Here is an 11331-nt window from a genome sequence, read left to right as displayed (position 1 = left end):
CCATCTGAGACCACCTCAGCCTGGACTTTATTGTCCATATCACTATCAGCATTTCAGTCATAACAATTTAACAAGTCTCTGGGAAGTACCACACTTTCCTTCATCTTCCTGTATTCTTCTGAGCCCTCCAAACTGTTCCAACCTCTGCCTGTTACCCAGTTCCAAAGTCACTTTCTCATTTTCAGATACCTTTATAGCAATTCCCCACTCCAGGTACCAATTTTCGGTATTAGTCCATTCTCACACTGCTATAAAGAAATACCTGAGACTGGGTAATTTATAAAGAAGAGGTTGAAGTAGCTCATGGTTCCACAAGCTCTACAGGAAGCATGGATGGAGAGGCCTCAGAAAACTTACAATCATGTCAGAAGGTGAAGGGGAAGCAGGCATATTCTACACGGCTGGAGCAGGAGGAAGAGGGAAAAGGGGGAGGTGCCACACACTTTTAAACAACCAGATATCATGAGAACTGACTCACTATCATGAAAACAGCAAGGAAATCTGCCCATAATCCAATTACCTCCCACCAGGCCACTCCTCCAACATTGGGGATTACAATTCAACATGAGATTTGGGTGGGCACACATATCAAAACCATGTCATCCAGCTACCAAACACTCCCAGTTCTCTTGGGTATATCACAGAATTGAATTTCCCTGACCCTTTGTAGTTAGGTGGATACATGTGAGTTGCTCTGGCCAATGAAATATGAGCAGAAGAAATGTGTGTCACTTCTGGGTCAAACCTTTAAGAACTAGTACACAGTTCACCACATTCTCTGTTTCTCCCTCAGCAATTGTGTGAGAACAGAGGTGGAGCCTCCCTCAGAACTGGATTACTGAGGATGGCATAGATGTGAACCTTCTGCTGACCTACAGCAAACATGCAATGGGAACAAGAACTTTTGTTGTTTTAAGCCATTGAGATTTTGGAGGGTGTCTGTCACTATAGCATAACCTAGCCTCTACTCTTTGATACATGCAGGTATGCTTTAACCCCTCCTCAATCCCCCCCTCCTCACATATACTTAGTACTGAGGGAAGTTGACTTTCATGTGAAATGGTATCTACTCCAAATGAAATAGCATTGTCTAAGTGGCACTTCCTTCCTTCATGCTTCTCTTCCTTGTGCATAACAAAGTGCCAGACATCTCTAATTCAAGTACGGAATTTGCTTACAAGTGACAATCATCTTGGAATGGTTTACAGTATATTAACTACTGACAAATATGTTGTTTGTATTGCTCCCTCAGTGCCTCAAAAGTCTAGTGAAGAGGAAAATGGAAAAAGAGCCTGTTAGTGAACTGCAGAATGGCCTCTTCTTCCAGTTAAAAACTGGGCTAGGAAAGGCCAGGTTCTGCATTATCTGCTGGAGTCAAATTAGAGATGGATGTTCCAGCTCTAATGGTAATGATGAGTTTGGAAGTCAGAGCCCTTCGATTCACTTGGTCCCTGCTTTAGCACACATACGATGCTGCTCACCCATATTTATAGGTAGAGGTTATACACAGATTGAGAGAGATTTCTGTTATGTGCTCTGAGCAGATCCTCAGTTCTCACACCCCTCTTACCATCACTATGTGGTTAGAACAAATAATTTTATTCCATTTATTCTATTTCTATTTATTTTGAGTTGGTCAAGGAAGTCAATATAGACCCTTATTGCTTCTGCAGCTTTTGTGTATGATTCTGCAGCTTTTGTATATGATACATTCTCCATCCTTTTTGCACATTAGAATTATCTCGGAAGTTTCAAAATTACAAATATCTAGGACTCACCCTCAGATATTCTGATTTAATTGGTTTGGTGTGGGTCATGGGCTTGGGAAATTTTTAAAAGATCCTTAGGGAATTCTAATATCTAGGTGGCTGGGTTTTCCCAGGAAACAGATTCTGAGATGGAGATGTGTATTCTGAAAGTTTATTGGGGAGTACTCTAGAGCTCAGCATCAGTAGGGGAATGAAGAATCAGGTTTGGCAGAGGGAGAAGTTGAATTGTAATGCAGTCACAACAAAGGCTGCAGGTGACCCCATAGGGAGATTCAGGCTGAGATGGCCCTTCGGAGTTGTCCTGAATTGGAGCAAGGGAGCTGCACCACAGTTCCTGTGCAATAACTAGTCCTTAGATGTGGCTGCTCCTCAGGAAAAGGGGCATGACACCGGGCAATAAACAGGATGGAGGAAGTCGCTGACATCATGAATTTGTTTTGTTGTTTTGTTTTTGAGATGGAGTCTTGCTCTGTCACCCAGGCTGGAGTGCAATGGCACGGTGTTGGCTCACTGCAACCTCCGCCTCCCGGGTTCAAGCGTTTCTTCTGCCTCAGCCTCCCGAGTAGCTGGGACTACAGGTGCACATCACCATTCCTGGCTAATTTTTGTATTTTTAGTAGAGACGGGGTTTCACCATATTGGCTAGGCTGGTCTCAAACTCCTGACCTTGTGATCCGCCCGCCTTGACCTCCCAAAGTGCTGGGATTACAGGCGTGAGTCACCGCGCCAGGCCGACATAATTACTTGATAGTTGGGGAAGTCAGAAAAAACATATAAACATAGAAGCAAGATAATTAGTGAGAAGGATTAATGCTATTAATGAAAATTTTAAAAATTTTAAATGTTAGTGGCTAGGAGAGGCAGCATAATGTCATGCTTAAGGGCATGGATTCTGGAGGCTGACTGCTTGAGGTCCAGACCTGGCACTACCATTACTTGCTAAGACCTGAGACAAATTAAAACCCTTGTGCCTCATTTTATAGTTTACTTATCTATAAAATACGAATACGGTAGCTACTTTACAAAGTTGTTGTAAGGACTAAATTAGTTAATTTGGATTGTTTCAACTGATTTGAGGAATGCTTGGCACATAGTTTCCAGAAAGTGTTAGCTGTTTTTCTCATTATTGTTGCAGGGCAAAGAAGTAGGTGGTTAGGGAAACACCTTATTAAGAAGCTGACATTTGTTCATCTTCTCATCATTCAAACTGGATTCAAACTGAATATTGAGAACAAGCTAGCTCTGAAGAACCAGAATGCCACCCCTACAGACAAATAGAAAAACAAATCAGGCCAGGTGAGGTGGCTCATGCCTGTAATCCCAGCACTTTGGGAGGCTGAAGCAGGCGGGTCACTTGAGGTCAGGAGTTCGAGACCAGCCTGGCTAACATGGTGAAACCCTGTCTCTACTAAAAATACAAAAATTAGCCAGGCATGCTGCTGGGTGCATATAGTCCCAGCTACTTGGGAGGCTGAGGCAGGAGAATCACTTGAACCTGGGAGACAAAGTTTGCAGTGAGCTGAGATCGCGTCACTGCAACGCAACCTGGGAGACAGAGCAAGACTCTGTCACAAAAAAAAAAAAAAAAAAAAAAAAAAAAAATTGTCAGCTAAATGTGAGAACTCCATTTACCCATGTAAAAATGCATAGATTTCAGCTTCCGAAATATTAAGAATATCAACAGTAGGTGTCTGGGTGTGGTGGCTCACGCCTGTAATCCCAGCACTTTGGGAGGTTGAGGAGGGAGGATTGCTTGATCCCAGGAGTTCAAGACCAGCCTGGGTAACAGGGTGAAACCCCGACGCTACAAAAAAATACAAAAAAAAAAAAAAAAAATTAGCCTGGCATGGTAGCACATGCCTGTAGTTCCAGCTACTCCAGAGGCTGAGGTGGGAGGATCGCTTGAACCTGGGAGGCTGAGGTTGCAGTGAGCCGAGATCGCGCCACTGTACTCCAGTCTGAGTGACAGACCAAGACCCTGTCAAAAAAAAAAAAAGAAAAGAAAAGGCTGTAGTGGAGAAAAAGCTTGGCTTATTACAGAAACAGAGGGAAGGCCAGTGTGTTTACAATGTAGTGAAGAGGGTAGGTTTGAAGGCTGAGAGATAAGTGTAGCATAATAAGAAATACATATGTGGCCTTTGTCCCTGGTTCCTGACACAGAGCTCCTAAAATTCTTGTAATTTTCTGAGTGATAGGGGTGTCTTATTATTCACTACAAGTCCCTTTCAACCATACCTGAGTTTTTGCTAATAATGTGACTCCTGGTGAGCCCTAGATAGCTTCAGGATGGAGACTGGTCACGAAAGGAACCAACCACCTGATTAGAGGATTGGAACTTTCAGTCCCACTCCCTACTTCTGGAGAGGCGAGAGGGCCTGAAGATTGGCCAGTGATTTAATCAATCATGCCTATGTGATGAGACCTCCACAAATTCCCTCAACAACAGGGTTTGGAGATCTTTGGAACTGGCAAACATATTCACGTGCCAGGATTAGTGCACCCAAAATCCACAGAGACAAAGCTGGGCTTAAGACATGTCTGGACCTTGCCTTATGTATACCTCTTCATCTGGCTGTTCATTTGTATTGTTTTTAATAAACCAGTGAGAGTAAAATGTCTTGCAGATTTCTGTTATTCTACCAAATTATCAAATATAAAAGGGGGAAGTGTGGGAACCTCCAATTTTATAGCCAAAGTGGGCGGAAGTATGGGTACCTTGGCCTCCAATACTTGCTACTGGCATCTAAAGTGAGGGTAATTCTGTGGGACTGAGGCCTTAGAACTTTGAGTCTGATACCATGAGTAGTTAGTGTTAGAATTTAATTCAATTATAGGATGCCCAGCTGGTGTCCAAAGAGTTGAGAACTGGTTGTTGGTGTGGAAAAACCCCACACATTTGATGTCAGAAGTGTGGTGAGCAAAGAGCTCAGTAGGTACTGACCAAATTAGACTGGACAACAGTGAAGAGTTGTCATCCATTTGTTTGTCTACGCCACCACCACCTCCCTGACCCAGACAGTGACTACTTTAGGAAAGGGACTGTAGTGGATCCTATAATATACTGACCAGGTCCTCCTTCAGGACTGAAGGACCTATTTCCCCTCATGTTGGAAGTGCTGCAGGCACTCAACCCTCAGCTGTCAGCCCTCTTTCCGAGAATTGCCTTTGGCTGGAGAAAGATACCTCACCCAAGATCACATCCTTCTGGGGGAAGCCTGCATCCAATGACTGGTTGATTTGGGAATATAAGAGTCCAGCCTCATCACTTCAACTGGGGACAACTCTATACTGGAGACAATTTTATATGACAATTACAGCCTCAGAGCTCAGCATCAATTTGGCTGAGGTCTTTCTTGTTACTATGTCACAGCCTAACATTACCCTCTGCCCAATCCTGCTTTGTTCTCTTCTTTCACAGACACTCATCTCAAGATTACTCCCTAGTACAATTTCTACATGCTAATCTCCATGCCAGAGCTTTTTGGGGGGGAACACGACTTGAAATGAGTACCATGTCTTTTGTGTCTTCCTACACCCAGTCTCATCATACATCTCAGAACCTCAGTAAATATTTGTCAAATTAATAGATAAGTGACAGAAAAGGTGGTAGCCGATACTAGGATGGGTTGGATAGATGTGTTGGTGGTGGCATGAGTGATTGGAAGGGGGAGAAATCGTGGGAAATATTAAAAAGGATATGGAAACCACAAGGGGGGGAAACCTTCCAATCTTTTCCTTTCTAAGAAGTTGAGAACAGGATTCAAGATGGTATATGTGGCCGGGCGTGGTGGCTCATGCCTGTAATCCCAGCACTTTGGGAGGCCGAGGTGGGTGGATCACGAGGTAAAGAGATTGAGACCATCCTGGCCAACATAGTGAAACCCGTCTCTACTAAAAATACAAAAATTAGCTGGGCATGGTGGCGCATGCCTGTAGTCCCAACTACTCGGGAGGCTGAGGCAGGAGAATCGCTTGAACCCGGGAGGCAGAGGTTGCAGTGAGCAGAGATCGCGCCATTGCACTCCAGCCTGGTGACAGAGTGAGACTCTGTCTCAAAAAAAAAAAAAAGATGGTATATACTTATTGGTGCTACCAGAGCAGCAGATCTTTGAGGGATAAAAACAAACTTGCATCACCATCAAAACATCAACAATCTACTTTGTGAAGCTTATTCATCTACTCTCTACTAAACCAAGAAATTTCTCTGTTTAAATGTTCTATTTGTAATAAAGTTAATTTGGGTAGATTGTATTTTCCTAGAATATATAAGCTATTTCATCTAGGTTTTCAAGTTTCTATGCATAAAATGTTGAAAAGCAGTCTCATGGTCAAAAATTTTTCTCCATCTCATTTTTATTTCCTCCTTGTCAATTTTTATTTTCTATATTTGAGATTTCCCACTTTTTTTCTTAGCTAGGTTAGTTAGTGGTTTGTCTATTTTATTGAATTTTGCAGGACCAGAATTTTGGTTTATTTATTATTTCTAATTTTTTTCTGTTTTCTACCTCAATCGTATACCCTTTTATCTATATTAATTCCTTCAGTCTGCTTCCTTTTAAATTATGATGCTGTTCATCTTATAGATTCAAATTCATCCATATGCATTTTTTGTTTTTATTGCTTAGTATTTTAGCCTTAAATATATGTGTGTGTGTGTGTGTATGTGTGTGTGTGTCTCTCAAGCAAGCAAATTATATAATGAGGAAATATTAGGTATTCTCTCAAAGGTCAGAAATGAAACCTTAATGCCTACTATCTCCTCTGCTATTTTACATTCTATTGTAATTATTAGAAATGAAATCAGAAAAGAGAAAAACTAGAGGTATAAAATTGAATCAAAAAAAGAACACTATCACTATCTGTAGATGATATGATAGATAGTTTACCTGGAAAACCCATGAGGACAACAACAAAACTAACACAAATAGTAAAACAAGTTGATAATTTAGTAGGATATGAAATTAATAAATAAAAATCAATATCCTTCATATATAAAAGCAACTAGTGAAATGATGCAATGAAAGAGATAACCCAATTTGCAATAACAACAAAATGATAAAATATTTATAAGTACACAATTAAAAATTATAAAACCTGTATGAGAAAATATTAATACAACTACTAAGAGATGCAAGTTAGACACACAAATGCAAAGAAAGCCTTTTTTCTTGGATAGCATGATTCAATATCATAAAGAAATAAAATCTTCTCCATGTTTGTTTATGTGTGTGTGTATGTGTGTGTGTGCATAAAAATAAAATATTTACTTTTTAAAAGAGCTAGATAAATTGATTCTTAACATTTGTTTGGAAAAATAGCATGCAAAATCTCGGGAAGCCCTGGAAAAGAAGAGCAAAGAGCTGAACGAATCCTACCAGTTATTAAAACATATTATAACTCTTCTATAATTAAAACTGTTAGTGCTGGCACATGAAAAGGCAGGCAGAACAGAAGAATAGAACAGAGCAGTCCAGAAATATACCCAAGAACATATGGCAATTTAGGATATGATAAAGGTGGCATCTTGCATCACTAGGGAGAAGAGGGACTTAGATTGGGTTGAGATAAATGGATAGTCATTTGAAAAAAAATAAAACTGGGTTCATACTTTATACCATACACTAAAATGAATTCCAAATGGATTAGATATTTAAGTGTAAAAGTAAATAAATTAAATCACACTAGAAGAAAACTTGAGTGAATTACTTTATAACCCGTATATGAAGTTCTATGACTCGCAATTCAAAGGCAGCCATTAAAAAGACTGATAAATTTGAACTCATAAACATTCTTTGAAAACTTTTTTCACATGGGAAAAATACACCATGAGCAAAGTCAAAAGACAATATGGGAGAAGCACTATGCTAGATTCAGTACTCTGAATCCTCTCATATGACAGTGTTCCTATCGTGGCATTCCACTTTTTGCTAATCATTATTTTATATATATGAGACCTGATGAAGTGATGAGTTAAATGATATTAATTTCCCAATATATGTGTCCAAACTTTGACTATAGTTTTCAGCCACTTCCTCTCTACAGCTACAAACAAGAGATTCTTTAACATGGTCATAATAATTCTATCATTTTAAGTTTTTGCATTAAACCAAGAATTTAGAACTTTAAGATCACTCCTACAATCCTTGAATTCCTCATTGGCTTTATTCACATTTTTTTGGAAGTAGTTACTATATCCCTCAAAGCTGTGCCTTCACTAGGTACTTTATTTTTAGTGATCATAGGTGATAATTTAAGTTGTTGCTTGCTATGTACTATGAACTACTAAGTCCAATCTTTCAATACTAACCAGGTGTCCCAACAAGCAGATAGAATTAGATGTACAATAGATTTGGTCAGAAATGGGATGTGGGGGATTCCTGTGAAGGATAATGGGGGCAGAAACAGGAATAGGCAGGAAGAGCCTTTTTGTTGAATCATCATAGCCATTGATGAAGGATGCTTAACATCAACTGGCCAAGACATTTTGTCTGTTTGATTTTTCAGCCACACTTCTGTGGTAAATGCTTCCTGGTGACCCTTAAGGTGTGATACAAAAATCTTTACACTTATGCCCTCTTCTATTCATATATATGCTCTATTACTTCAAGGCACCATAATTCCCATAATTATCAGTGAGCCCACCTCTGTCACTGCCTTGCCTACTGTCTGCCCCGACTTGGAGAGGATAACTACCATTGAAGTCAGTGATGCTGGTTCCCATCTCACCAGCACATTCCTGATGGCCTGGGTGGAAGAGGGTGCCCTTTGGGTCCTCTAATGAACCATAAGCCTATGATGAATCTTCTGGTCTCATGTAACATATTAATTCCAGCGTGCTCACTTCCCTCAGTCTCTTCATTCCCTTCTCTACTGTCTGCCAGGGCAGTTTTCACTTGATCCTTGTTGACTATCTCTTCTTCCAGGCTTCTAAAAGCTAACTTGTCGTACATTTGCCCCATCCCTTAGGGTCTCTGCCAGGTCATTAAATTTCATGTCCTGAAAAAGTGTTCCCAAGTGAGTTAATTTTTGCTTACCTAGTCATATATTCCAGTTTCTTTCAAACGCCTTAAAATCCTATTCTATAGATACTCTCTGGCTCCTGCTAGTGCATGCTGGGTAATTCTTGATGCTCCTACTGTGTATAATCTCTTTATTCCCTTATCAGACCTAGCATTTTTCCATACAGGTTATACTGAGATTTAACCTTAGTAATAGGCCTAACAGCCAGGAGAGGAGGTGGGGCAGCTCCTGATGTGTGCCACCTATTGTCTTACAGGGCAAAAGCCTGCAGCATTTTCCCATGTGGGGGAAATGCTAGTCTTAAGAAGAAATGGTTATCTTGGCCAGGTGCGGTGGCTCACGCCCATAATCCCAGCACTTTGGGAGGCCGAGGCAGCCAGATCACGAGGTCAGGAGATCAAGACCATCCTGGCTAACACGGTGAAACCCATCTCTACTAAAAATACAAAAAATTAGCTGGGCATGGTGGCAGGCACTTGTAGTCCCAGCTGAGGCAGGAGAATGGCGTGAACTCGGGAGGCAGAGCTTGCAGTGAGCCGAGATCCCACCACTGCACTCCAGCCTGGGCGACACAGCGAGACTCCATCTCAAAAAAAAAAAAAAAAAAAAAAGAAATGGTTATCTCTAGAAGCTCTAAGGGTTCAGGGAGGTCTGAAGAGCTATAATCCTCAAATGCAAGCATCCTGATGCTTCCATTTCATGTTTCAGGGGCCCAGATTGTCCCTATCAGGGGCTAGAACTTCATATAACAGGCCTGCCTTGGCTCAGCATTTAAATGCCTCTGGAATTCTGCAGCTCAATCAGATCTTGTGTCCACTCCTGTTAACACCTATGTCTGCGCTTCCGCTGCAGGAGGTAAGGTTTATTTCAAGCAACTACAGAGGCACTCCGGCTCTCATAGTTAGTCTTTAACTGTTTGTTAACAGCCTGCAGACTTCCATTATCTCTCTGCAGGATGTCAATCGAACTTAATCCTATCAAGCCAACTCTCCTGTCCTTACAGGTATTGTTTTACCTGTCTCTTTCAAGTGCCTGAATCACCAAACCAGCAAGGGCATTCCCCTCCACTGTGAAATTTTCCCAGATCACTACAGGTGAAATCGCCAACAGTTGGGTTGACACATTGTATCTGGGACTATTCATGCTCTTACAGAGGCACTCAGTATGGTGTCCTGCTTTTCAGACAGGTACTTAGTGAGCCAGTGGCCATATCCCATTTTTATGAATTTTTCCTGACCACTGTCAGTTAGTTTAGTTAGGTCTTTTGAGAAGCAGATGCCAAGATGGGATCAGGGGTGAGAGATTTATAGGGGGAAATGCCTATGAAGGGTAAAGCAGAGGAAGCATTTTAGGAGGTGAGAGGCTTCAGTCTGTGATGCAAGTGTGGCAAAAGAGAAAGAAGGAAGAATTGGGTAAGAAGAGCCTCAGACCATAGGGCAGTTCTGAGAAAGTTTCCACTTGGCTGAAAGGAACTCCCCAAACCAAAGTTGCTCCTTAGAGGAATCCCAGTTTGAGGCAGGAGTGAGCTAGCCCTAGTACCTCTGCCATGCTCAGGCATTGGCTAGGAGGAACAGCAGCTGGAAGCTGTCAGTCACTATGTTCACTGCTCATGGAGCAGGTTCTCTTGAAAGAGAGCTGAGCAGCATGTTTCCATGGCTGCCATGCCAGATAACCAATCACAAAACTTCCCCATTTCCCAGGGGTTCTGTTGCCTGCATCAACTTCTGGTTCCAATTTCTGTATCCTTCCAGATTCTTAGCTGCATATAGCAGAAGCTGACTGGCTGATTAGGCAAAAAGAGAGTTTTTTAAAAAGGGTACTGGATAGCTCATAGAATTATTGAGAGTGTCTTAGGCTAAGTTTCCATGGTCAATGCCAGAAAGCAACCTACAGAATTCGATAATGGAGAAAAACACAGCTGTTTCCCCTGCTGCTACCAAATCCTAGATGCTGCAGATTGAACAGCTGCTATCTACTAGAAATGACTGAAGTAGCTGCTGCTGTTAGCCCCAAACTCACTTCTATACCAGGAACTCAACTTGCCTGCTACTATCTCCCTTGACATCCAGAGGACTCTGCTATTGATATCTGGGACCAGCAGTCTAGTCTTTCAGCCTTCAGGCTGTTTTTGGCTTGAAGGTGAGGTTTCACCAGGGACTTGCTCCTATCTGCCTAGGCATTTGGCTGTCTTTTGCCACTATCATTATAATCCTCTCCAGGAAAGTGGATTAAGTAGGGAAGCTGCTCTTCACCAATCAAACTTAAGCAGGGGTATATCTAAGTCACATGATTGTGCCCTAGCTGAAAGGAACCTGTGGAGGTGAGTTGCCTGAATTCTAAATTATGGAGATGAGACTCTAATTCTCTAGACATTTCAAAGATGCTCAAAAAGTTCTGGAAAACAGGTCAAATATCAACTTCAAATGTTCAACTTCATGCCTGCCTCATGCATAACTATAAAATCATTTGTATTAGTAAATACTTAAGGACAACCTAAATACCCATCATTAGAGAAATGGTTAATTAAATAACGAAAAGTATT

General features: G+C 41.4%; 1 annotated feature.

Annotated features, from left to right (window-relative positions):
• Positions 9479 to 10046: an enhancer, noted in NCBI's record as "NANOG hESC enhancer chrX:43098410-43098977 (GRCh37/hg19 assembly coordinates)". NCBI's record gives its function as "activates a minimal SCP1, AML or CMV promoter by ChIP-STARR-seq in primed H9 embryonic stem cells {active_cell/tissue: H9 hESC(primed)}" and the evidence as "EXISTENCE:reporter gene assay evidence [ECO:0000049][PMID:30033119]".

Source organism: Homo sapiens, chromosome X (assembly GCF_000001405.40).
Source record: "Homo sapiens chromosome X, GRCh38.p14 Primary Assembly".
In the NCBI taxonomy this organism is placed as follows: domain Eukaryota; kingdom Metazoa; phylum Chordata; class Mammalia; order Primates; family Hominidae; genus Homo; species Homo sapiens.
This window is presented reverse-complemented; position numbering and strand designations above follow the sequence as displayed.